Source organism: Homo sapiens, chromosome 18 (assembly GCF_000001405.40).
Source record: "Homo sapiens chromosome 18, GRCh38.p14 Primary Assembly".
Classification (NCBI taxonomy): Eukaryota; Metazoa; Chordata; class Mammalia; order Primates; family Hominidae; genus Homo; species Homo sapiens.
In genome coordinates, this window is record NC_000018.10 from 62715141 (window position 1) to 62742452 (window position 27312).

Below are 27312 nucleotides of genomic sequence, written 5' to 3' on the forward strand. Positions count from 1 at the left end.
CTCTCCGAGGCCGGCTCAGGAACCTCCCGGGAAACTGCCCCCCACCCCGCCCTCGTACGCACGCGTCACGTTTGTTTACCCTGAAGCTCCGCCTCCGGCCATCCCCTGGCTCTCCCCACTCCTCCCTGGAATGCCGTCATGCCGGCGATGAATATTTATGAGGCACACGCGGCCCTCCCGCCCTGCCAGCCTCCCGCCTTCCCGCTCCCGGCGCATGATTAATATTCAATGAGCCCAGATCCGCGGCTGGTTCGCCGGGTTGAGGCGGGGGTAGCGGGCGGGGCCGGCGCTGGGGAGCCCGCGACCCGGGCGGGGAGGGCGTGTGTCGGGGGGGCGGTGGCGGCGAGGCGGGCGCGCGGGATGGAACACTGAGACACCGACGGAATGCTCCGAATCGCCACATAATCCCCTGGAACGGCCGCGCACAACGCCATTGGCTTCTCCCTTCTCCGCGCGCCGCCGCCGTCTCCCACCTCCGCCTCATCGCCTCCCTCTCCGCCCGCTGCCTCCGGAGCTGGGGGGGAAACGCGAAGCCCCACTGCAATGGAGCCCGCCGCCGCGGCCACGGTACAGCGACTCCCCGAGCTCGGCAGGGAGGACCGAGCTTCGGCTCCGGCGGCCGCCGCTGCGGCAGCAGCAGCAGCAGCGGCGGCCGCGGCGGCTCTGGCGGCGGCGGCCGGGGGCGGCCGGAGTCCGGAGCCCGCGCTGACCCCGGCGGCCCCGAGCGGCGGGAACGGCAGCGGCAGCGGGGCGCGGGAAGAGGCCCCAGGCGAGGCGCCGCCGGGGCCGCTGCCGGGCAGAGCGGGGGGTGCCGGGCGCAGGAGGCGGCGCGGGGCGCCCCAGCCCATTGCCGGCGGGGCTGCCCCCGTACCCGGGGCCGGCGGCGGCGCCAACTCCCTCCTGCTGAGGAGAGGGCGGCTGAAGAGGAATCTGTCCGCGGCCGCCGCGGCCGCCTCCTCGTCGTCGTCGTCCTCGGCCGCTGCTGCCTCGCACTCCCCCGGCGCTGCCGGCCTCCCCGCCTCCTGCTCGGCCTCGGCGTCGCTGTGCACCCGGAGCCTGGACAGGAAGACGCTGCTTCTGAAGCACCGGCAGACGCTGCAGCTGCAGCCGTCGGACCGGGACTGGGTGAGGCACCAGCTCCAGCGCGGCTGCGTGCACGTCTTCGACCGCCACATGGCCTCGACCTACCTGCGCCCGGTGCTCTGCACACTGGACACCACGGCCGGCGAGGTGGCCGCCCGCCTGCTGCAGCTGGGCCACAAAGGCGGCGGCGTGGTGAAGGTGCTGGGCCAGGGGCCCGGAGCCGCCGCCGCCCGGGAGCCCGCTGAACCGCCCCCCGAGGCCGGCCCCCGGCTGGCGCCCCCGGAGCCGCGGGACTCGGAGGTACCGCCCGCGAGGAGCGCGCCGGGTGCCTTCGGGGGGCCTCCGCGCGCGCCCCCCGCCGACCTACCCCTGCCCGTCGGCGGCCCGGGCGGGTGGTCGCGCCGCGCCAGCCCAGCGCCCTCGGACTCCAGCCCCGGCGAGCCGTTCGTTGGGGGCCCTGTCTCTTCGCCCCGCGCCCCACGGCCTGTGGTCTCCGACACCGAGAGCTTCAGTCTGAGTCCCAGCGCCGAGAGCGTGTCTGACCGGTTGGACCCCTACAGCAGCGGCGGCGGCTCCTCGTCGTCGTCGGAAGAGCTCGAGGCCGACGCAGCCTCGGCCCCGACGGGGGTCCCGGGCCAGCCCCGCCGTCCCGGCCACCCCGCGCAGCCCCTCCCGCTTCCCCAGACGGCTTCCTCGCCTCAGCCGCAGCAGAAAGCCCCGAGGGCCATTGACAGCCCGGGCGGGGCCGTCCGCGAGGGGTCGTGCGAGGAGAAGGCAGCGGCAGCCGTGGCCCCGGGAGGCCTCCAGTCTACCCCCGGGAGGAGCGGGGTGACCGCGGAGAAGGCGCCTCCGCCGCCCCCGCCGCCCACCCTGTACGTGCAGCTCCACGGAGAGACCACCCGGCGCTTGGAGGCGGAGGAGAAGCCATTGCAGATCCAAAATGACTACCTCTTCCAACTGGGATTTGGGGAGCTGTGGAGGGTGCAGGAGGAAGGCATGGACTCGGAGATTGGCTGCCTCATCCGCTTCTATGCAGGTAAGGAAGTCACCTGCCTTGACGGGTGGTTGCAAAAGCTGCCGAGGACCGAGGAGTGATTCAAATTGCTTGTCAGTTTGCCCAACCCAAGAGTAAGTGCGGGTCCTGATGAGTCTTTGTCTTAAACTTTACAGCTTTTTCATACAGTCTGTGTAGTACTAGATTGAGCAATCTTTAAATCTGCACGTTTTATCAATCTTGAGGGCTCAGAGGTTGGAAAGCAATGTGAAAGAGGTGGCTGAATCACCAGGAAGTACAGGAAGCAGATCCCTCTGAAAGCGGCAAGAGCACCTTTAACCATAAAGGTGCTTCCTCAGGGGCATGTTGGGTTTCAGGCAGTTTGGGATTTCAGGTAAACTGTCACGTGAGCATAAGACGGACAGAAGAAATGACAATAAAAATGCTCTATCACACTTTTGCCTGCATTTGACTGTCCAGTTGAGCGTTCTAGCTGTATGTGCCACCGGGAGCTCCTGACTTGTCAACTGGTGCCTTTGTTTATTCAGCTCTGCCACACTCATAAATTACCCACGGAGCCCTCATTAGAAATCTGACAAAAGGGTGCCTTTTTAACTGATACTTTTCCCCAGCGCTTTTTTTGCTCGATTTCTGTTTCGTCTGCAAGTTTGTCTTGCATAAAAAAAAAGATTTTGCCTGTTTCTCTCATTTTCTTCCAGCCTTTATGGTCAGAACTGACCACCGCAATACGCCTTGCAGGAAGGTTCACAAGAAGGATTTAAGTGGTTGCTATTTCTTCAGATGTGTCCTGAAATCTTCCCCCGTCTTGTTTCAGTACATTAGCAAATTCTTGACTAGGGGTGACCCATGTAATGTTTCTCTTTTGGCTGAAGATTTGGCTAGTACTAAATTCAGGAGCTATAGATGCTGGATATTGTACTTGAGTTTTCTAAGTAGTTTTACATCCCTTTCCTCCTCTGGTTTGAATAATTATGTTCTCAGTGATAAGGAATTTTATTTAAAATAAAGTTCTCATAGCAAAATTAAATCAAGAGTGTTAACTCTTCGCTAACTTTACGTTTTTAGGTTGTAGGTGATGGTGGAAAATAATCATACTTGTAACTCCATTAATTTGTAGCCATTCTTTACAATTTAATGTCTTTTGGTCCAGCTTGTGTGTCCCAGTGGCAATTTAATTAGTTTGCATGAAGAAATCTTTACATCTTTACTCCCACATTGAAATATGCAAGACTGACAGGATTCCTGGTGAGAGAGATGCCCTTTAAATTTCTTGGAAGTTTTTCTGAAATTTAAGTGGATTTCTGATGAATCTTTTACTTGTAAAGAAAACCAAATCGTAATACAGTAGCATTTGCAGTATCTGAAGACAATTTGTCAACTCGATGACATGGCTTTTAAAGTTTATGGTCCAGGAAATAGATGATTTTTTATGTAAGATCAACAACTGTATTCTTTTCTCCTTTAATTCATGTAATTTGTAAAATATTGTTATTTTACAAAAGCATTAAAAATAGGTGCCCTTTAACTACATGGAAGGAACTGTATATAAAAACAAGGGATGTATTAGAGTTTGAACAAATTTTATATGGAAAGAGTTTGCTTATGATTGGATATATCCATTGTGATAAGTGTCCACGGAAAGGTTTTGGGTGTCACAGTTAACAAAGTTTGAATCTGTGTTTCCCTTTGATTCTCTTCAAGAGTGTCTAAAATATTCTAATGGGTAATAAGCACTTTCTTTTTTCTCAAAACCTCATCTCAATATTAAAAAAGTCTTTCCTGGTTAAATCTTAAAATGTTTGGCATGATCTTTTAATCTTTTTGTTTTGTTCTTTATGAAAAGCAGTAATTGTTACCTCATTCTGCACTTACTGCCTTGTTTCTATATGTACAGCATAAATGCATGTATGCCTCTGAGTATGTGCTTACATATACTCAGATGTGTGGGGGTGCCACACAAAGTATCCACCCTATTCTTGAACATGAAGCCAGTGTACAGGTGTCCTAGAAGAAAAATGCCTGATTGTTGCGAAGTTGTCTAATTGCTTATTTTGGCTTTAAAGCAAAGTTGAGCTTATTTTAAGCCTAAGTTAATATACCAGACATCTCTGCTGTTATTCATTTGCAGTAGAACAAAATTTAGTGTATGGTGAATCCACTTGAATTTTTGCAAAGAAGTTCAGTTATTGATGAACAAAAGCGTAGTCTCATTTATGGAAACGTTGTCAGGACTCCACATATAGTGAAGGTTTGCACCAGGCTGGAAGTGATTCCTAGAAATGATCTCTGTGTTCCAACAGAATATAGGACACCTCAACAGGACAGAGTTACATTTTGGTAGTAGTTTTTTTCTGTAGGAAGAGGATAATTAATGTTTGTTTTAGATGACATCTTTTACAGGGTTTTTGAAAATTCTGTACCCCATTGGTAATTTTATACATAACTTATTTTTAAATTTATTGCTGCATGTTGTTTTGTTTACGTATAGTTGGGGTTAAGGATAGCTAGGAAGTTGCTTTCAAATTCTTTTGAATATTTTTCTGCATTTAAATTGAGCTTATCTACTGTCTTGAGGGTCTGCTCTCTTGAAGATCACCTTTCTGTTCAATTTTAGTATTTATAACCTGACTAGGGTTGTTTTTTAGAGGCTTTGAAAGCCATTTGTGGTTGCTTTGAATATTTAAATATTTATCTGGGTAAAGTAAAATGAAAGTCTTTAATGAGCGAGAAGGCCCTGGATAAAGGTACTATCTAATTACAGAGTTGTTAATGAAAACTTGGTTTGAAAATTGTTATAGCATCTACCAGGCCACCATTCTCTTAGCTGACTTAAGATATGGGAAAATTTAATTAGCTTTATCTGAAGTTACTTAAGTATTTAATATCCTTTTAAAATCGGACATCTTAAATTTTGCCTGAAAGAGAGTAATTATAGGTTAAAAAATTCAAGAACTTAAGGTTGCTCGACATAAGTTATGGACTCCTAAACATGAATGAGCTTTTGTTTTAGACTCTCTGGGGAGCCTTTGTCATTGATGTAGGGCAGCATTAAACTATATCTTTTTATATTTTTTGACTCTTTTCTCCCAGCACTTAGATCTGAGTAGTCTAGCAATTTCTGTTCGAATTTTAGTAATGACAAAGGGTGTTGACAGAATAAAGTGCACATTCACTGTACCTAGTGAATCTCGGACAAGGTATTTTTGTGTGTGACTCCTTGGGATTTCGCGGGAACAATCTTTTTATCCCTGTCATATTTTATTTATTTTCTCTTCTGGGAATGATCAAACCTTAATGTGGTTTCCTACATGCAAACCAAGAGGGGAGAGGTGGTTCAGCATTAAGCTATAATATTGACAAGCAGGTTCTTATTACTATAATTACAGCAGTATTGAGTAACGCGGTTCGAACGTGTGACACCAGTGTGTGCTTGAACAGTCCCTTTAATTTTCAGTACAGAGGCTTTAAATTTTTTTTTTAGTATTTTACATTTTTATATTTATATTTTATATTTGTTTGTTTTTGTTGTAAAGTACATGCCACCCTTCACTACTATGGCGTGATAACATCTACAATACATTGGTTTTTATTATCTTCAAACATCTTGAAGGGTTTTTACATAAATTATTTCATTCGCCCTTTCAAAAACAGTGTTAAGGAGGAGTCAGTGGCAATCCTCTTTTCAGATGGAGAAACTGATGCACAGAGAGATCTGACTCGTCGTATTTCCGTCCTCGGGAGGGCGGAGAATAGAGAGCTTGGGTATTTTATTTTGCAATTCGTATCACTTTCCATGAATCGATGCTAAATTAAATTTACACTTGAATTTTTCCCTTGGTTAAAAGCATTCCAAAAATATGCTGTTTTTGTTGGTAATGAGGTGGTATTATCCTCTAGTTCAAAGTGGTATTTCTTGTGAAATGTGGATGGTTCTGTTTATCATGGTGCCTTTAAAAATGTAAAGAACCAAGACGGACAAATAAGGAGACAGTATGGAAAGAGTACTGAAGTGTTCTAAATATCCTGGTTGCAAATAGTCATGCTTGGATTTAAGTTGATATGAATTAAAGTTTACGTAATAGTTCTTTATTCTCTTATTCAAGCATACCTATTTGTTAAACTGTAAATCTTCATTGGGAAGTAGAGAATTAACACTTTGCCTGAAAAGTGGGTAACTTTTGAGGGGTGTGGGTGTGTGTGTGTGTGTGTGTGTGTGTGTATGTGTGACAGTTCAGTTGCTTTAAAACATGGCTTTTAAAGTAACTGAAAATATTTCTCATTAAATATCTTATTTGCTTAAACTTATTATTAAAAAATCGAGTTGTCTTTTAATGATGCTTTCTTGATGTTATTGTGCTCTTGTATAATTTTTATAATTCATGTTATATAGTGCTAGAGATAGTAAGTTCTTCTCCTTGAATTTCATAGTTATTCCTAAATTCGTGTGTCTTTTGTACTCATTGAAGTAATTGTAGGGGCAGGAGATGAGTGTAAATGAATTTGTGTAAAGTTTTAGGTTGAAAGTTTTATCTTTTGGTTGCTATAAGATTATCAAATCACCCACCTTAAATGATTGATATATACAAAGATAAGTTATTTTTTAAGTGTAAAATGTTTTTGTTGTTTCTCATTCTCTTCTTAGAATCCTGAAATTAGCTTTTCATTTACTGGTAACATAACATTCACTGACATTGTATGTGATCTAAGCCTAGTATAGTCCTTGGCATTTTAGTTTAACATTTGTTGAATTTAATTTGTGGAATTTTGTTAAGCAGCTGGTGGTGTGTGCCCTGATTTTTCAGCTTCCATCCTGTTTGGGTCCCCAGGGATGTGTTAAACACACATACACACAGCGGCATTTCTCCCATGGCAGGAGATTTTAGATGTGCTACATACTATTAATATCTTCTATTTCACGTGAGTGAACTCTGGATTTTGAGAGAATAGCTCTCTCTGAAAGTTTTCTTAGAGTTAACAGGTTTCTCCCAACTTTTCAAAGGCATCTCGTACTTAATTTTGCAGTGAATTTAATGAGACATCTGTCAAATGAGGCATCTTAGATTTAATGATTTTGTTATGTGCCAGGGTTTAACATAATTCAGTCTATCTGGACTGGAGAAGGGTTTGATTGTACTGTGAAAGTCCAGAGATCCTGAAGCCGCTCAATAGAAAAACGATTCCTTTAAAGACGCCTGACATTTTGAAAAAGAGAAAGAGATGTTATCAAAATGTCTAAAACAGCCTGGGAAAATGAAGTCTTTTTTTTTCTTTAAAGTTCCACCTTCTAAACCCATTCCATCCCTTTAATCACATGCATCTGGTGGAACACTGGTAATGAGGGGTTTTGAATCTGGCCTGACGTCACTGTGATTCTACGGCAAACCCTTTTTTATACTTACCTTTGGCTTTCTAAAGATAATATAATTAAACAAAATCCACCATATGAATTCATTAGATATATTAGATATTTATAACCTAAGGCTGTATGACTGACTGGATTTGTATGAAACTTCAACTCCAGAAACTTATGATAAATTGAAACTCAAGTACTTAGGAAGAATAGACTTTAATGATACTTTGATTAAAAGATGTTAGTATATTTAGGTAACTGTGAAATAGCAACTCTTTGAAGATGTGTGATATTATGCTTTTTATCAAGCATAATAACAGTTACTGGATTAATGAAGTGTTGTTATTCTTTGACTTTAGAGTTGGAATGGTTTTGTTGTGTTACCATGACTTGGCCTCATATACTTTTTGGTATGTTAGGTGAAACAAGGCATAACCATTTTGTAATGCCACATGCATACTGAAGTAATTTTTTTCCCTGTTGTATTTTTTACATTTGAGATTTTTATACATCGTAAAGTGTGTTTAACAATAAAGTGTCTTGTGGAGGTGTAAGCCTAGTGGCCTCTGAGTTTGTGACCTAGAAGTTAATAATGAAAACTCCATAAAATACTTTGTTTGGAGGTTGCACATATTGTATGATTTTGGAGATATCAATACTTTAGAAAAACACAAGCAAAAAACATCCAGAATTTTGGCATATTTTTTTCTAACTGGAGCTTGGCTAAAAGTAAATTAGCCTTGCTTCTAGTTTGTGAAAGCATTCAGTTGAAGACTGATGAAATTTGAAATATTTGGTTTTGGACCATTTCAATAATGAGTGAAATCTAATTAGAAAGTGAAGTTAGAGAGAATTTGAATTGGTTGTAATTTTTTTAAAGGGTTTTTCTCACATTCTGTTTAAGCAGGAAGAGATTTGTATTTGTTGCTCTCTATTTCTTCTGAATCAGACATCTGAGGAAGAGCAGGTGGAGAATGAATCTTTTCATATACCTGCCTCAGTTAATAATGTGTTAGAGTGTTTGGGCTTTCTTTTCAAATACCAGGCATGTTTTTAAATACAGCAAGAGCTTGGCTGGTGTGTTGGGGGTGGGGGTTGGGTCAAAGTCACTCTCCTCTTCAAAAACAGAACTTTGGGAAACAATTTTTTCCTTTTATCTCACACTGTGAGAGAAAATGTACTGCTTTTTAGAGAAAGTAGTCTGAGAGTTGGGAAACTTGGCATGACTTTGGGCATTCATTTTAACCTACCCTGGGCTTTGATTTCCTCATTTGTAAGACGATGGGGTTGGAGTAGAGCGAGTCCAAGATCTCTTCCAACTCGTAACATTCTGAGGCTTCATTAGAGAGCCTGTTTTTTTTGAAGGGCTTTGAAAGTTGTAGTTGTTTTAAGTTCTGTAAGACATGGCTATGGGCTTAAAACTGTCAAATCCCCTGCCTTTTCTTATGGACTTGGACCTAATGTACACAAGTCAGCTGGAGGTTGCCAACCAAACAAAGCAGACCTCCTCTTTGGTGTAGATTAGGACAAGAATCGATGTTTGATTACCCCGTTCCCTGTCATTCCTACTCCTGAAGTAAAATTCAGCATGCCAGAGATGAGTATAAAGTACATCCTCTTTTAAGTTAAAGTGAAATTCTTAAATTAACTTAGCAAGATGCCTTCATAGTCTAGTTCATCAAGTTTACTCTAATAACTGTATTAGAGGGATACAAATGTGTAAAATTTGCTGGCTAGTTAGCTTTATTTATGGTGAGCTGTGTGCTTGCCTACCGGTGCTTAGAGTCAGTAGGAGAAAAAACATTTTAAGAAAATGGATTTTTTGCACTGTTACTTTGGACAGGTAATAGAATTTAGGATGTTGTAGAGATAATTTAGTCCAACATCTGTATTTTTATAGATGAGAAAAGTAAACCTGTGAGGTAAAGAATCTGGTCCAGAATCATTGGTTAAGTCAGTTACAGAGTTAGGACCACCACCTAGGATTTTGATGATCTGTCCAGTGTTCTTTTTTTCCCACACTGTGAATGTGTAATACTTACTGTCTTTGGTGGTTCTTTATATTAATACTATTAAAAATGAAAGTTAAAGAAATTGTGTGCTTTACACAGTTAGTCGTTTCTCTATTCAAGGTTTTTTCCTAGTTCTTTTCATTCTAATCAGTGCTTTTGAGGGGTTGCATATCACTTTGACAGATTGTAAGAAAGGAACTTCTGATGGAACAGGTGGGTATTTTAATTGCAGAGAGAGAAATTAGATTTCATCAGTGATGTTACCTTTGTGGGATGCATGATAGAACTATTGACAGTTGGCAGAGAAGAGGTACAGTGTTAGAAAATCAATGTTCTTAGTTCATTCAGTACTTTGAAGGTGAAATTGTTAAAAGAATAAAAGTGTTAGAAAAAAATCATTGAATTAAAAAAATAATTTGGGAGAAAAATTTAAGCATGAATTTTGAAAAAAATTTCCCTTTAAATATGTGTGTGTTGGCTGTGTGCGGTGGCTCACACCTGTAATCCCAGCACTTTGGGAGGCTGAGTCGGGCAGATCACCTGAGGTCAGGAGTTCGAGACCAGCCTGGCTAACATGGTGAAACCCTGTCTCTACTAAAAATACAAAAAATTAGCTGGGCCTAGTGGCGCACGCCTGTAATTCCAGCTACTCCAGAGGCTGGGGCAGGAGAATCGCTTGAACCCGGGAGGCAGAGGTTGCAGTGAGCCAACATTGCACCACTGCATTCCCGTCTGGGTGGCAGAGCAAAACTCAGTCTCAAAAAAAAAAAAAAATAATAAATAAAAAAATAAATATGTATGTATTAAAAAGATTCAACATTATCTTCTTTGAATTATTTTTAAAAAGATGTGTCAAAATTAATTGCAACTTAGCTTATTTTTCAGGTACATGTACGCAGTTCTACCTTTCTGTGACATAATTGAAACAACTTGTTCAGTATCTTTGGGCTTTTGTTGTGTGCTGATTTGGAAGTCTTTATCAGAAATATGCCATTGCTTTGAATACTTTCTCTCTCTCTTTCTGTCTCTTAAAAAAAGAGAGAGAGAGAGAGAAAGAAATATCCTGCTCTCATTAGCAAAAAGATAGTTTGTGAACTGTGGAAACAAATATTTCCAGCTAATTTTAGGGTATGACAGATTTCCTTTTATGCTAGATTTCATTTTAATTTAATTATTTATCTTAAGCAAAAGCTTTAGCTTCCTTTCTATGAGAGTTAGCCTACTAAGTCAATTAATTCCCCAAAGATTACTGTTCAATTTTAAATGAGTAAAGGAACTTTTAAAAAAATGCGTAAGTACACAAGGGTAAAAATATATTGCATCTGTCATATTGAGTATCCCAGATGCGGAAGCAGAGGAAAAATTTCTCTTGATGGTCTCTTAGAGAGGTGGTATGGCTGGGGTGCAGCTGACATTCAGTTTTAAGTAACAAGGAACTCTCGTGTATAAACACTGCTATAGTTGGCAAACTTATTCTTCCTTATGCACACACACACTATATATATGTATGTGTATATACACACACACACACACACACGCATGTTCTCCATTGAGTGTGGAGGTAGGATATGATGAGAGGTAGTAGTTGTATTTATGGATGGGAGGGGGTGAGTAGGGTAACTGATCCTGGGGAAAAAAATCTCAATTTAAAAAAATTTGCAGTTAATTTTGTTGAACATTAATTGGTAACTCATTGTGACTTGTTCATATCCCTTGCCTGCTTTTTTTTTTTGGGGGGGTTGGATGTTTGCTTTTTTCTTACTAATTTCTTTGGGAGTTACATAGAGAAGCTAGTTTTGTTTACTAAGTCACTTATATTTTCTTTATCTGTTCACTTTTATATCAGTCTTTTCCTCTAGGTTTTCAGGGTCTGTGTCATGCTTAGGAATATCTCTTCTACTCCAGGATTTTAAAAATTTTCTAGTACTTGTAGTATTTTATCATTTTCTTTTCTTTTCTTTCCTTTTCTGTTCTGTTCTGTTCTTTTTTTTTTTTTTTTTTTTTATGGAGTCTTGCTCTGTCACCCAGGCTGGAGTGCAGTGGTGTGATCTCGGCTCACTACAACCTCTGCCTCCCGGGTTCATGCGATTCTCCTGCCTCAGCCTCCTGAGTAGCTGGGATTACAGGCGCCTGCCACCACGCTCAGCTAACTTTTGTATTTTTAGTAGAGATGGGGTTTTGCCATGTTGGCCATGCTGGTCTTGAACTCCTGAGCTCAGGTGATCCATCTGCCTTGGCCTCCCAAAGTTCTGGGATTACAGGCGTGACCCACCATGCCCGGCCAGTATTTTATAGTTTTCTATGCATAAAAATTTGATGTATCATCATTTAAGATAGGAAGGAGAGGCCGGGTGCGGTGGCTCACACCTGTAATCCCAGCACTTTGGGAGGCCGAGGTAGGTGGATCACCTGAGGCCAGGAATTCAAGACCAACCTGACCAACATGGTGAAACCCCATCTCTACTAAAAATACAAAAATTAGCTGGGCATGGTGGCAGGCACCTGTAATCCCAGCTACTCGGGAGGCTGAGTCAGAAGAATCACTTGAACCTGGGAGGTGAAGGTTGCAGTGAGCCGAGATCAAGCCATTGCACTCCAGCCTGGGTGACAGAGTGATACTCTGTCTCAAAAAAAAAAAAAAAAAGGGAAGGAGGAAAAATAACAAATTGTTCGCACATTTTAATTGAATAACTGTGTTCTTTCTTCACTGATTTAAAATGCCCCTTTTGGCAGGTATGTGGCACATGCCTGTATTTCCCACACTTTGGGAGGCCAAGGCAGGAGAATCATTTGTGCTGAGGAGTTCGAGACCAGCCTTGGCAACATAGTGAGACCCATTCTCTACAAAATAATAATAATAAAAAAAATTAGATGGGCATGGTAGCATGCTTGTAGTCCTAGCTACTTGGGAAGCTGAGGTGGGAAGATATTCTTGAGTCCAGGAGTTCGAGGCTGCTGTGAGCCATGGTCATGCCACTGCACTCCAGCTTGGGTGACAGAGCGAGACCCTGTCTCAAAAAAAAAAAAAAAAAAGCACTTTTCTCCAGAGTTTATGCCATTTTTGCTTGTCTGTTTTAACTGGCAGGCTGGGGATTAAAATCTACAATATGGAGTAATGTAAGTTTAGGGTAGGTATTAGGGTTTGTTGAGGGACAGTAGGGAGAAAGGGAAGGCTCTTTAGCCTTACCACTGCATTTCTTTTTGATGCCCCAATTTCCCACGCCATCGTCACTTTTAGGATGGCAGCTTATGTGCTTCTGGATATGGACTTATCAGGATACTCCTTTCCTGTGGATTCTGTATCATCTCTAAGTGGCTTGGATGGGAAGGGGAGGGGGGCTGGAATATAAAATATTGCTTCTATGTGTATTTTTCACCCTTTACGTATTAGAGATAATTTTTTAGGCCAGGTGCGGTGGCTCACGCGTGTAATCCTAGCACTTTGGGAGGCTGAGGCAGGCGGGCGGGCAGATCACCTGATGTCAGGAGCTTGAGACCAGCCTGGCCAACATGGTGAAACCTCGTCTCTACTAAAAATACAAAAATTAGCTGGACGTGGTGGTGCATCCCTGTAATCCCAGCTACTCGGGAGGCTGAGGCAGAAGAATCACTTGAGTCCAGGAGGCAGAAATTGTAGTGAGCCGAGATGGTGCCACTGCACTCCAGCCTGGGCAATGGAGTGAGACTGACTCAAAAAAAAAAAAAATATTTTTTTTAAAGAAGTGACATAAAGCATTGATTTCTGTTTTCTGAATTTGAGCTCTTTGACTAATTTATTTTGCATTAGGCAGCAGTCTCAGCTGTTTATACTGTTCAGATTCACTGAACTTTTTTCACCTTCTGGAGAAATTCTGGGGGCTACCCCTTAAAGGTCATTGTGAAGCACATATGGCTTATCTTTATCTTTTTTTTTTTTTTTTTGAGACAGTGTCTCACTCTGCCACCCAGGCAGGAGTGCAGTGGCGCGATCTTGGTTCACTGCAACCTCTGCCTCCCAGGTTCAAGTGATTCTCCTGTCTTGCCTCAGCCTCCCATGTAGCTGGGATTACAGGTACACACCACTACACCTGGGTACTTTTTGTATTTTCAGTAGAGACGGTGTTTCACCATGTTAGCCAGGCTGGTCTCAAACTCCTGACTTCGTGATCTGCCCGCCTCGGCCTCCCAAAGTGCTGGGATTACAGGCATGAGCCACTGCGCCTGGCCTGGTTTATCTTTTAATTTTAAAAAAGGAAGGCTAACATGCCTATTGAAATTAGTAGACTCTGCCAGTGGTGCCTTGAGTTTTTTTTTTGGCTAGCCTGAGAAGGGGGTTCCATGTGTTGTCTTGAACTGATGACAGTTCTTGATTACAGGAATAATAATTTGAAATAGCTCTAACTTGAGATAGAACTCTGTGATCCTGCGACCAGTGTTCTAATCGTACCCATGGTACGTTAGTGCTGTTGAGTCAGTTAATTCCCAGAAAAAATGAAGTGTTTTTTTTAGTGGGAATGGGGGAGGGAAAAGGAACACATTCCAAATATAGAAAAGTCAAATTAGAACATCTGCCATCTTTGGCAAACGGGCTTTCATGGTCTATTGACCAATTCTTAGTTATTATATAAATGACTGCAAGACACAAATGGTACTGCTGTTGGGTTTGGTGGCTTTATAAGATTCTGTGTGTTGGACAACTAGGTTTCTCTTCTGTAGGCTTTTAGTTGTGTTGCAGAAGTTCCAAATCACCTTTGCTGTAGTTGACTATAGGCTTTTTAATACATGAACACTTAAGGAGAAAATCTCCGGACCCATTGCTGTAAAATACTAAATGAAGCTGGGCGTGGTGGCTCATGCCTGTAATCCCAGCACTTTGGGAGGCTGAAGCGGGCAGATCACTTGAGGTCAGGAGTTCGAGACCCTGTCCCTACTAAAAATACAAAAAATTAGCCAAGCATGGTGGTGTGCGGCTGTAATCCCAGCTACTCGGGAGGCCGAGGCAGGAGAATCGCTTGAACCAGGGAGGTGGAGGTTGCCGTGAGCTGAGATCATGCCACTGCGCTCCAGCCTGGGTGACAGAGCAAGACTTCGTCTAAAAAAAAAAACCTAAATGAAATGAAACTGTGGTCACCACATTTAGGTATTTGTATGTAACAGTGCTTTCTTCCACAATGACAAACCAGATGTTATTTTTAAAAAATTTGAATAAGCAAGTGCAAAAGAATTGAACTGCTTCAGCACAATTGTATCCTGCTACCTAATGTTCAAGAAATTATATAGTATTTTGGTATTTAGTAAACATTTCTATCACCCTGTATGCTAATTACTGTTTAGTGCTTTATAAATATTAAGTGCTTTATAACTATTAATTTAATTCTCACAACAACCGTATGAGGTAGGTTATCACCCCAGTATTACAGATAGAGAAATGGAGTTACAGAGCAGTTTGGTAACTTGTCTAGATTTGGACAGTGAGCAAGAGAGAGGCAGAATTCAAGTTCAGGCATCACATGTCAGAGTTAACTTGTAAGTGTCCCCCTTGATTTGCTGAATATGGAAAACGTATCCCTAATGAGCTTCTGTGGTCAGTTTGGGCACATCAGCATTTGTGAAGCATAGACTTTAAACTAGTTACCACCTGGACTTGAGTTCTGGCTGTGCCACTGACACGGCTTTTCTGCATTCTTTCTTACCTGCTGCACGAGGTTGTTGAGAGGATCAAGTAAGATAATGAATGAAAGTGTCTATGACGACAGTACTAGTTCTTACACACCATCCCTCCACATTTTGGGATGTCTGTTGCTGCTCTTCCTTGGGGTGGAAAGAGCACTGGAGCCCTTCTCTGGTCTTTGTGCTTCTTTACATGATGTGAGACCTATAGTAAACCCCTTAACCTCCTTCAGCCTCATTTATTAGAGAGAGAGAGAAAAAAAAAGGTGATTTTAAAAAAATCTGTTTTCGGCCAGGTGCAGTGGCTCATGCCTGTAATCCCAGCACTTTGGGAGGCCGAGGCAGGTGGATCACCTGAGGTCAGGAGTTCGAGACCAGTCTGGCTAACATGGTGAAACCCTGTCACTACTAAAAATACAAAAAAATCAGCTACTCGGGAGGCTGAGGCAGGAGAATCCTATGAAAACGGGAGGCAGAGGTTGCAGTGAGCCGAGATCGTGCCATTGCACTCTAGCCTGGGCAATGAGCAAAACTTTGTCTCAAAAAAAAAAAAAAAAAACTGTTTTGAAGAACTTTGTGAGATTCAGATTTGATGATACGTGTGGAAGTGCTTTGTAAACTGTGAATGTTATACAAATGTCATGTGGTTTTATTATTTTTAGCAATGGGAAATTGCCACAGATGTTAATTAGAGTTAATTAGGGCTCATTAAGGAAGATGGGATCTACTGTTGTTGGGCACTGATGCTCAGTTACATGGAAGACTGTACAGGCATACCTTGTTTTATTGTGCTTGCTTTTGTTGTGCTTTGCAGATATTGCATTTCTTACAAATTGAAGGTTTGTGGCAACCCTGTGTTGAGTAAGTCTGTTGGCAACGTTTTTTCCAACAGCATGTGCTCACTTTGTGTCTCTGTGTCATATTTTGGTGAGTCTTGCAATATTTCAAAACTTTTCATTGTTTATAATTTTTTAAAAAAAATAGGGAACGTTTCATGAATTTGCATGTCATCCTTGCACAGGGACCATGCTAATTTTCTCTGTATCATTCCACTATTAGTATATATGCTGCCGAAGTGAGCACCCTTTTCATTGTTATATCTGTTAAGGTGATCTGTGATCGGTGATTTTTGATGTTACTATTGTAATTGTTTTGGGGCATCACAGACCACGCCCATGTAAGATGGCAAGCTTGATAAAGTTGTGTGTGTTTTGACTCCTTGACCGACTGGCTATTCCCCCATCTTTTTCCCTCTCCTGGGGCCTCCCTATTCCCTGAGACACAACAGTATTGAAATTGGGCCAGTTAGTAACCCTATAAAGGCCTAAGTGTTCAATTGAAAGGAAGAGTCACAAGTCTCTCACATTAAATCAAAAGCTGAATATGATTAAACTTTGTAAAGGAAGGCATGTTGAAATCTGACAAAGGCCAAAAGCTAGTTCTCCTGTGCCACAAACAGTTAACCAAGTTGCAAATGCAAAAGAGGTTATTGAAGGAAATTAAAAGTGCTACTCCAGTGAACACATGAATTGTAAGAAGGCAAAACAACCTTATTGCTGATATGGAGAACGTTTTAGTGGTCTACATAGAAGATCAAACCAGGTACAACATTCACTTAATCCAAACCCTAATCCAGAGCAAGGTCCTAACTCTCTTTAATTTTTTGAAGGCTGAGAAAGGTGAGGAAGTTTCAAAAGAGAAGTTTGAAGCTAGCAGAGGTTGGTTCATGAGATTGAAGGAAATAAGCTTGTGTCCATAATACAAAGGTGCAAGGTGAAGCTGCACAAGTTATGATGTGTAGAACCTGATGTAGAATCTGCAGCAAGTTATCTGGAAGATCTCGCTAAGATCATTGATGAAGGCAGCTACACCAAGTGACAGATTTTCAGTGTAGATGGATGAAGCAGCCTTCTATTGGCAGAAGAGGCCATCTAGGACTTTCATAGCTAGAGAGGAGAAGTCAGTACCTGGCTTCCTTCAAAGGATAGGCTGACTCTCTTGTTAGGAATTAATGCAGCTGGTGACTTTAAGTTGAAGCGGATGCTCATTTACCATTTTGGAAATCCTAGGGCCCCTGAGAATTCTGCTAAATCTGCTCTGTCTGTGCTCTATGAGTGGAATAACAAAGCTGGATTACAGCACACCTGTTTGTAGCATTATTTACTTAATATTTTAAGCCCATTTTTGAGACCTACTGCTCAGAAAAAGAAAAGATTCCTTTCAAAATATTACTGCCCACTGAAAATGTACCTGGTCATCCAAGAGCTCTGAGGGAGATGTACATAGAGGTTAATGTTGTTTTCATGCCTGCTAACACAACATCCATTCTGTACTCCATGGATCAAGGAGTAATTTTGAATTTCTGGTCTTATTATTTAAGAAATACATTTTGTAAGGCTATAGCTGCCATAGATAGTAATTCCCTTGATACATCTGGACAAAATAAATTGAGAACCTTTTGGCAAGGTTTCACCATTCCGGATGCCATTAAGAACATTTGTGATTCATGGGAGGAGAACCTCCATTAACATGGGTTTAGGAGAAGTTGATTTATGGATGATAATGAGGAGTTCAAGACTTCCATGGAGGAAGTAACTGCAGATGTGTTGGAAATAGCAAAAGAACTACAATTAGAAGTGGAGCCTGGAGATGAGACTGAATTGCTGCAATCTCATGATGAAACTTGAATGGATGAGGAATTTCCTCTTATGGACAAGCAAAGAAAGTGGTTTCTTGAGAAGGAATCTACTACTGGTGAAGAAGCTGTGAACATTGTTGAAATGACAACAAATAATTTAGAATATTACATAAACTTAGTTGATAAAGGAGCAGCAGGGTTTGAGAGAATTGACTCCAATTTTGAAAAAAGTTCTGTGAGTAAAGTGCTATCAAAGAGAAATCTTTTGTGAAAGGAATAGTTAGTTGAGCAGCAAACTTTATTGTCTTATTTCAAGAAATTGCCACAGCCACTCCAATCTGCAGCAGCAACCACCTGAATCAGTCAGCAGCCATCAACATTGAGGCTAGACCCTTCACCAGCAAAAAGATTATGACTTGCCAAAGGCTCAGATCATTGTTAGTACCTTTTAGTAGTATTTTTAAATTAAGGTGTGTGCATTGTGCTTTATATGTAATGCTGTTACAAACTTAATAGACTATACCGTGTAAACATAACTTTTTATATGCGCTAGGAAACCAAAAAATTCATGTGACTTTATTGTGATATTCGCCCTATAACAGTGGTCTGGAACTGAACCTGCAGTATTTCTGAGGTATGCCTATACACATTCATTCATTTAATCAGTAATTACTGTGATTATTTACTATATCGTGATCCTTTGAATTAAAGATGATTAATGTGAATTGTCTAGGATCCCTTGAATTACTTACCAATTTGAGGGCATGTTTGTGGAAACAAGCCAGCATTAACAATAAAAAGGTGAAAAGTGTTCTAATGGAGACATAGTATTCGCAGGTTACTGTAGTAGCAGGAATGGGGAGAGAGAGCCTCCAAACTCCACTGTGTTGCCCTCGAAGGACTAGGAGTAGACTGTTGCTTCAGTTCTGGGATCCTGAATTGTTTTAGGAGCAACTCTAAATTATTGGTTCCAGATACAGTCGACCGAGTTTAGGATTAATAGTTCCAGTTGAATCCTTAGCATTTACCAAATACTTCCAGGCATCTGGGCCTTTTTATCACTTGAATCGTTTTGGGCTCTATTTGTATTATAGTTTGTGAGGATCTAAATTCTGGGTTAAGCAAATATTCGTTTTGATTTTTTGAAACAAAAAAATGCAAATGTGCATGTGCTGGAGGTTGCACTAAAGCCTGACAGTAGCCTAGAGTACACTGAGGGACATTCTTGTATTTCTTTTTTTTAAGGCCTATGAGGTTTTATTTTTCTATGGATTTATGAGGTTGATGGGAAGTGCTGTTTATCTTCTGAAGGGAGGTACTTTTTTTTAGTTTGGTATCATACGTACACCACATTCATGTAAAAATTGGAAGATGATGATTTGGTCATGACCTGGGGTCATTTTTTAAAAACCTCTGTATCTCCTCTCTGGATCTTCATGGAAGAAGGAATTTTTAAAAAAACCTCTCGTCTATGCTAGGAAGAAACAAAATCTTTCAGCATTCATATAAGCATAAAACAACTTATTAGCTCTTTTATCCATGGCTGTAAAACCTGTACTACACACATGGCAAGTTGTCTTTACTAATGACCTATTATAAATTATTTTTATCTTGAGTAGATGGCAGTGGCTCTGTGAAATATTGTCTTGTAGTAATGTGGATGACAACACTGGAAAATGAGCTGCTTTTTGCTTTTTGTGTTTTATAATTATGAGAAACACCATGGTAACAAAAAAAATTATTTCAGCCTGTCTGACTAAAATAAGTCATGCTTCTAATCCAAATAAAATACTTCTAATTCAAACCAATCAACATTCAGGTTAATTACCTGCCAGTGGGTATTTTCCACCATCTATTATTAAATAACACCTATTTGCCCTCTGTGAAAATTTTTACAGAGACTTCAGTTAACTCATTAGAGCAATATCAACACTTGACAGGCTGATTTTTATGGGGGATGTTAACAGAAATGTTAGCACCAATGTAATCAGGAGGAGAATAGTTATTGGCCCTTGTGATTATGAAGCAGAAGCTCAATGATCCCTTGCTTTGTAACCAAGTCATGTGAGGGACTTGGTGTTTAATTCACAAAATGAATATGTGATGAGAAAAGTTCTACAAACATCTTGGAACTGCTTAAGAGGATGTCATTCTTTTTTTTTTTTTCTTTTTTTTGAGGCAGGATCTGGTACTGTTGCTTAGACGGGAGTGTAGTGGTGCGATTTCCACTCACTGCAGCCTCTGCCTCCTATGCTCAAGGCATCCTTCCACCTCAGCCTCCCTAGTGGCTGGGACTACAGGTGCATGCCACCTGTAATTTGGCATTTTAAATTTTTGTATTTTTGTAATCTGGCTAATTTTAATTTTTGTATTGTTTGTAGAGACGAGGTTTTGCCATGTTGCCCAGGCTGATCTCAAACTCCTTAGTTCAAGTAATCCGCCTGTCTTGGCCTCCCAAAGTGCTGGGATTATAGACATAAGCTACCCTGCCTGGCCGAGGATGTCATTCTTAAGATACCACACAGAAGTTCATTTCTGAGAGTAGGGATTGTCTTGTTTGTATAGTTGGAATGCTTATTTTATATCCTGAATTGGCTTGTAGCCATTAGAATTGGAAGGTGTCATTGCTTCCTACTTTTATAGATATGCATACTTCCCCTTCCCAGCCCCCCATCAAAACAACAACAACAACAACAACAACAACAACAACAACAACAAAACCAGTTGACCACCCTCTTGGTTTTAAGAAACTGACAGATTACCCCAGGTAGCATCAACCTCCAGATAATCCTGATGATGGGTAAAAGAAAGTAGTACAGTTCATTTATCTTTAGGGTACTATCACAGGCACAATTATACTTACCCCATGCACAGTATCTTCTTTATCTTTTAGAAACGTATGTAATATTGGAATAGACTAAACCAGGGTTGTCTGTAGACAGTTACTAAATCAGAACCTGACAAATGCCATAAGTGAAGTAATGTCTGTTAAATGGCACATGTATACATATGTAACTAACCTGCACATTGTGCACATGTACCCTAAAACTTAAAGTATAATAATAATAATACATAAAAAATTAAAAAAAAAAAGAGTATAGCTTTGCCAGGCTTCACTTGTATAAAATGGGTGAGAACCTCATGGATAGCCCAGAGATGGCCTGGAATCTTTGCACCGAAAGGGGGCAGAGAGCATCTAATAGTTTCTTACCTAGCATAGAAACCTCTGCTTGTCCATTCCTGATTGATGGTTAGCTGGCCTCTGCTTGTTGACTGCATTGTGTTGAGCCTTGGCCCCTTGAAATGTGGTCTGTGGACCAGCACCATCAGCCTCTCCTGGGAGCTTGTTAGAAATGCAGAATCTCAGGCCCCACCTCAGACTTACTGCATAATCGGCATTTTAACAAGATCCCCAGGAGTTTCATCTGCATGGTGGGAGTGGGAGAGAGTAGAAGTTGAAGGAGGTAAACCACTGTGTGGTTCAGGCGAGACACTGAGGGCCTGAGCTAGGGCAGTGGGAGGGAGTAAAGGAGATTGATGTGGATATTATCCTGGGACTCAGTAGCTAACTGGCTCTTTTGGCAACAGAAGCTCCAAGATGACAAGTTTACAGTTGGGTGATGGAAGAATTGTGGATCAGTTCATAAAAGTAGGAAGCAACAGATTGTGTAGCGGATATCACTGATTAATTCAGTGATCCTTGAGGACCAGGCACTACTTAGGAGTTGGCGACATAATGAATGAAAGTGTGTCCTCTGTTCTTGGTATTTACAATTTAACATTGAAGGACTGGTTTTGCTGAGGCATGAGTTTGAAATGGTAATACATGTTAAGCTGACTGCAGCCATCTGTTTAGTTGGTAAATGGGCCTGGCTCACCACCCAGCTTCCAAATTTCAGTGGAGGTTTGTCACTTTCTACTGGTTACCATATGTGTGGTAACTCTCAGGAAGTGATATAGACATTATTTATTTACTTGGTTTTCTTCTAGGAGCCATTTATTTTTTTCCGTATACAAAATAAATGCTAGCACTAGCTATGGCTATCAGACAGAAGTGAGGAGGTATAAAAAGAATATGTATTACATTTATGAAGCTCTTAGGATGTATGTCTTTTGAATGTTGAGTTTTTCCTATCTAATGGGAGGTGACGTTTACATAAATAATAATAATAAAACTTGAAATGCCTTATTGGAGGCATTTACACAGTGCCAGGGGAATCCAGAAAGGCTGACATACCAGCTCCCTGGAAGTAGAATCCTCTGGAAAGGATTCCTGGGAAAGATTCTCTGAGAAAATGAGAGACTAGCATTGCATGAAAAGGGCATGCCAGGTACTGCAGCATGAATGACAGGGCTCGATGTGGGTGGGGAATGGTGAGTAGTTTGGAGTGGTGAAATTTTAGGTGATGAGATGAAAAGTGGTAGGAGATGAGACTAAAAGAGAGGTTGAGGCCATGTGGTGAAAGGCCTCACATGCTAAGGACTTGACTCGATAAGCAAGTCAAGTGGAGAATGACATGATTAGATTTGTAGTCTTTGGCATTAACTGGGCAGCCAGCTGGAGGATAGATTGGCGAGGGACTAACTAGAAACTTGAAGACTGCCTTAGTAGGGCCTTTGATAAACATGTTTTGACTTTGTGTGTTAAAACAGCCTGTTAGGAGCTGACGAAGGAATGATATGCTGCCCTTGGCTCAGGGAGTTCAGCCTAGTGGCAGGGAAGGAAAGCATGCAGTGCTGCTTGGAATGTGCTGCTTGTGAGGTTTGTACAAGGTATTTGTCATTCCAAAAAGGGAGGTAATCACCTCTGCTGCAGTTGTGATAGGGTCGGTGGGAGATGCTTTTGAGGATTAGGAAGAGTAGACCAGGAGCTGGAGTGGATGGGATAGGACATTTTTGGCAGGGGACCTAGAAGTTAGATGAAGGTCTACACGAGGTCAGTGCAGATGAAGAACCATGAACATAGGATAATTGTTTACAATGTAGAATTGTTGGGTTTTAATGAATGATTATATGTGGAGGGGGGAAGGGCAGTTCAGGATTTTTTATTCACTCCTGAACTAATTTGAGTACAGCAGTTCCCACTTAATTTGAGAAGGGTATGTTCCAAGACCTCTAGTGGATGCCTGAAGCTGGGGGTAGTACCTATACCTATAGGTAGAACATTAGATATACAGTAGGCCATCTGTATCCATGGGTTCTGCATTAATGGATTCAACCAACCACAGACCGAAAATATTCAGGAAAAAAAAAACAGTAAAAAATAATAGCCTAGGTAACATAGTGAGACCCTTTCTCTACCATTTTTTTTTTCTTAAATTAGCCAGATGTGGTGGCACATGCCTGTAGTCCCAGCTGCCCAGGAGGCTGAAGTGGGAGGATGGCTTGAGCCTGGGAGGCCGAGCCTGCAGTGAGTTGTGATGGTGCCACTGCACTGCAGCCTGGGCGACAAAGTGAGACCTGTCTCAAAAACAACAAAACCCCAAAACAAAGCAACAATGCAACAATAAAAAATAATAAAAAAATGCAGTATAACAACTATTGGATATTTACATAGCGTTTACATTGTGTTAAGTATTATAAGTAATCTAGAGATAATTTAAAGTATGTGGGAGGATATGCATAAGTTATATACAAATATTTATATAAGGGACTTGAGTGTCCATTGATTTTGGTATCTTTTGGGGTGGGTGGTGGTCCTGGAACCAGTACCACTTGGATAGCAAGGGATGACTCTACTATGTTTTTTCCTATACATATATTCCTATGATAAAGTTTAATTTCTAAATTAGGTACAGTAAGAGATTAACAACAATAAATACTAATACAATGGAACAGTTAATAACAATACTGTAATAAAAGTTATGTGAATATGGTCTGTCAATCTTACTGTATTGTACTCATCTATTTTTGGACTGTGGTTGGCTGTGGGTAACTGAAACTGTGGAAAGTAAAATTGCAGATAAGTGCAGACTACTGTATGTCCTGCATGTTGGTAACTAGGGATATGGTGTGAACTAGACCAACAACATTTTATATGTCTGGATGACTTGGAGGTTTCTAGTTTAGGGGTGACCATAATCCCATTAACCAACAGGCAGAATATGCGAGCAGGAATTGGTTTTAGGGTAAGGGGAGAGATGATGAGTTAGAATTTGGATGTGTTAAGTTTGAGGTTCCTGAAGAATACTCAAGTATGTCTGAAGAGCTCCAGGATCATCTCTATTTAGGTAGTACTTTTGAAGCCTTTGGATTGAATGAAAATGCTAGACAGATAGTAGTTTTGAAGCCTTTGGATTGAATGAAATTGTTAGAGTGAGGAAAGGCCTTAGGAAGCAACTCCGAAGAATGCCTATATTTAAAAAGTAGTAGCGAGTTATATTGAGTGAAATAATTCAGACATGAAGGAGATACAACTCTATGATTATGTTTATATGAAGGTCAGTTAGCTGGCAAAGCTAATTTTTGGTGACGTATTGTAGTGGTTACCTTTCAGCGGGATATGGATGGGAAGGGACATGAGGAGCCGTCTGGTCTTGATATTGCTCTTTGTATTGATTTGGGTTTTAGTTTTCTGGGTGGGTACATATACAACAGTTCATTGATTGGTACCCTTATGGTTTGTGTGCTTTATTAGATGTAAGTTATATCTCAGTGGAAGAAGAGAAGAGGCCCTGAAGGCAGAAATTTGAACAGTATTTCTATCCTGAAGGGAGAGAGGGAGAAAGAGGCTAAGGATGATGGATGAACAGAGGGGAAAAATTTAAACAAAGGAAAGAAAGAAATAAGCAGGCATGGAGCATCCATGAAGGAGTTAACCCTAGGTGGGAAGAGGGTCGTCTGTTTCCATAAGGCTTTTAGGAAGGATGGATAAAGAGATTCTTGTAAGAGCTCTGGAAGTCTTTGGGTCTCAATTGGCCTCAGTTTTCTTAGTGAATTAGAAGGTAAAGAAGAGTCACATCTCAATATTTATTGTAATATGCTTTTTCTCGAGCTCATCAACCAAGTAATCATAGTGTATACCATCTGTTGTGAATTCATGAGTGATTTCAACTACTGCTGAATTTTTGGAGGATTGATCCTTCCTTGGGCCATCCTAAAGCACCTTACTGCACTGGAAGGGAAACGGGGACAAAGGAGAGGTGGAGGAGCTGATTGCCAAACTTGGTTTTACAGGTTCGGCAATGCTTGCATTGGGTAGGTTTGTTTTGATAGCAAGCACAGCTTGTAGTTCCCTGCTCCTAATCTGTAGGGGTGTGTATGTGTTTGGGCGGGAGGGAGGGTGGGTAGGTCGGGAGGCAGAAAGGCAGGATGTTCAGAAGCCTTCATGAAAGCTGCGGGTAGTAAATAACCAAGCTGGGATTGTGCTTTCTATTATATTCTGTTTCCTTTCTGTTTATAAACTCATTTATGGATATTTCTGAGATAGATTTGATTTTTTTCTTATGACTTCTTTTTTCTTATGACTTACAGGTAAGAGCTGATTCTGAAGAATGTATTTTCCATTCTTAGATTATCATAATAACTCATGGATTAAATCTGTTTATAAAGTGAACATAAAGACATGGTAAATTTTAAGTTCAGGTAGATATGTAGATATAAACCAGATGGTATAGAGGACAATTAATAAATAATAAACACTGTTAAGAAACCATGCTAAACCTATCATGGAAATCTTGTTAATTGTAGTAAGCATTGTATTTTCATTTTGTGCTTAGGACTGGGCTAGATGCCAAGATTTTAAATTATGGTTATTGAAACAAAAACGAGCATTATTTTAGTTTTTCTTAAGAACATAATTATGGCTGGGCATGGTGGCTCATGCCTGTAATCCCAGCACTTTGGGAGACTGAGGCAGGGGATCACCTGAGGTCAGGAGTTCAAGACCAGCCTGGCCAACATGGTGAGACCCCATACGTACTAAAAATACAAAAACTAGCCAGGCGTGGTGGTGCACACCTTTGTAATCCCAGCTACTGTGGAAGCTGAGGCAGGAGAATTGCTTGAACCTGGGAGGCGGAGGTTGCAGTGAGCCGAGATCATGCCACTGCACTCCAGCCTGGGCAACAGAGTCAGACTCTGTCTCAAAAAGAAGAAAAAAAAAAGAATATAATTGCTCAAATATTTACTGATGTCTTCAGATCATCTAGCTATTTTATATTCCCGTAGCAAAGTTGTGTTTTGTAGATTTTTAATAAAGGTAGTTTGAGAACTAGGATAGAAACTCTTGAGAAAGAACCATAATTGCTCACTCTTCATATGATGAATTGCTAAACAGCAGTAAGAGTGGAAAAAAATAATAGACCGTTCTTGATTTTATAGGCCCTGGTGGAATGGCTGTAGAGTTCGGTTGTTTTTTACTTGCTCAGGAACTTTGTATTTATTGGGCTAGCAGTTGTTGGCACAAAGGTTTGTTTGTGTTCAAAAGTCACTGATTAGTGGTAACAGAAACTTTTTTTCATATGGGACACTGTCTTTTTTTCCCTGAGTCTACTTAGTCAATTCAGATGTGGAGTGCTTGCTTCCCAAGGTATAAGGTGCTTTGAAGGCTGGGGGAAAAGATGAGTCACCAGATCCTCTGCCTTTTCAGAAGCTTAAGCCAATTGCACAAGGACGCAGATTATCATAAAACGTAAGACAGTACTATAGGGTTCTTCCTCTCAATTTCTTGCAAATACTTCTTGAACTTTGTGCCTCTTGTGTGCCACTCTTTAACAAGAAGGTCCTTGCCCTTGTGACTTCAAAGTAGGGAGTAAACTTACCAAATACTTTTATAAATAATTGTTTAATTGTAATTGTTATGTGTGCCACGAGGAAGAAATCTAGTATGCAGTGAATTCTTGTTTAAGCTGAGACCTGAGGACTGAATAGTAGCTTGGGTTACAGGGTACGTGAAAGAGCATTGCAAATAGGGAAACAGTGTGTTTGAAAGCCCTGAGGTAGGAAGCCCGGCAAGTTTAAGGACTTAGAGGGAGGACCAGTGTGAATATAGTGTACTGATTGAGAATATCAGGAAATTGTAAGGGGCCATATAATGGGTGTGTGGTCTGGGGCTAACTTCTGCCTGACCGAATGCTTTGGTCATTATAGTTTTTCTCCTCTTAAATTCAATGCAAAATAGGTAGATATATGAATTCTCTGTTAAGTCTAGCTACAAAGGCCTTTGAGGCCAGTGTTTTGGAATTGATTTTAAGATAATGGGAAACCATTCCATTGAGTTATCAAATGTTCTTTAGATTTGTCTTTTTCAAGGACAGGTGCCATGACTATCATTTCCTAACTTTTTATCTTATCAGTAGGAGGGAGAAAAGAGAAAAGGAAGATAAAAGTAACGCGGTCTTTTCTATAATCTGAACACACAAGAACAACCACTTTTTCTGTTCTTCCTATGTACATGACTTTCTTCATCTTTTAGCCACCTACACAGCTGTGTAGTTCCTTATACAGCTATATTGATTGACTCTATGTTATCTGAGGCCCCAAGATGCTCCCAGAATGCAAAGGGGTGTGGTCTGAGAATAAAGGCATAGTCTTTTTACTGGCTTCATGTAATTTTTTTTTTTTG

General features: G+C 41.4%; 1 protein-coding gene and 1 pseudogene across 1 annotated transcript in view, besides 8 other annotated features; one reads left to right on the top strand and one right to left on the bottom strand.

Annotated features, from left to right (window-relative positions):
- Positions 135 to 424: a silencer, noted in NCBI's record as "silent region_9516". NCBI's record gives its function as "represses an Ori minimal core promoter by ATAC-STARR-seq in GM12878 lymphoblastoid cells {active_cell/tissue: GM12878}" and the evidence as "EXISTENCE:reporter gene assay evidence [ECO:0000049][PMID:35858748]".
- PHLPP1 (PH domain and leucine rich repeat protein phosphatase 1) overlaps positions 401 to 27312 on the top strand; it is a 264893-nt gene continuing 237981 nt past the window's right edge. The window contains exon 1 of the mRNA NM_194449.4: positions 401 to 2119. Within this exon, the coding sequence (NP_919431.2) occupies positions 544 to 2119 (1576 nt within the window). The 5' untranslated portion in view covers positions 401 to 543. The remainder of the gene's footprint in view (positions 2120 to 27312) is intronic.
- Positions 775 to 1004: a silencer, noted in NCBI's record as "silent region_9517". NCBI's record gives its function as "represses an Ori minimal core promoter by ATAC-STARR-seq in GM12878 lymphoblastoid cells {active_cell/tissue: GM12878}" and the evidence as "EXISTENCE:reporter gene assay evidence [ECO:0000049][PMID:35858748]".
- Positions 775 to 1784: a biological region, named in NCBI's record as "H3K27ac hESC enhancer GRCh37_chr18:60383195-60384157".
- Positions 822 to 1784: an enhancer, noted in NCBI's record as "H3K27ac hESC enhancer chr18:60383195-60384157 (GRCh37/hg19 assembly coordinates)". NCBI's record gives its function as "activates a minimal SCP1, AML or CMV promoter by ChIP-STARR-seq in primed H9 embryonic stem cells {active_cell/tissue: H9 hESC(primed)}" and the evidence as "EXISTENCE:reporter gene assay evidence [ECO:0000049][PMID:30033119]".
- Positions 1215 to 1354: a silencer, noted in NCBI's record as "silent region_9518". NCBI's record gives its function as "represses an Ori minimal core promoter by ATAC-STARR-seq in GM12878 lymphoblastoid cells {active_cell/tissue: GM12878}" and the evidence as "EXISTENCE:reporter gene assay evidence [ECO:0000049][PMID:35858748]".
- Positions 1665 to 1764: a silencer, noted in NCBI's record as "silent region_9519". NCBI's record gives its function as "represses an Ori minimal core promoter by ATAC-STARR-seq in GM12878 lymphoblastoid cells {active_cell/tissue: GM12878}" and the evidence as "EXISTENCE:reporter gene assay evidence [ECO:0000049][PMID:35858748]".
- Positions 1865 to 1984: a silencer, noted in NCBI's record as "silent region_9520". NCBI's record gives its function as "represses an Ori minimal core promoter by ATAC-STARR-seq in GM12878 lymphoblastoid cells {active_cell/tissue: GM12878}" and the evidence as "EXISTENCE:reporter gene assay evidence [ECO:0000049][PMID:35858748]".
- Positions 16086 to 16192, bottom strand: RNU6-142P (RNA, U6 small nuclear 142, pseudogene; annotated as a pseudogene).
- Positions 26076 to 26370: an enhancer, noted in NCBI's record as "tiled region #7810; HepG2 Activating DNase unmatched - State 1:Tss". NCBI's record gives its function as "activates a minimal TATA promoter and a strong SV40 promoter by Sharpr-MPRA in HepG2 cells {active_cell/tissue: HepG2}" and the evidence as "EXISTENCE:reporter gene assay evidence [ECO:0000049][PMID:27701403]".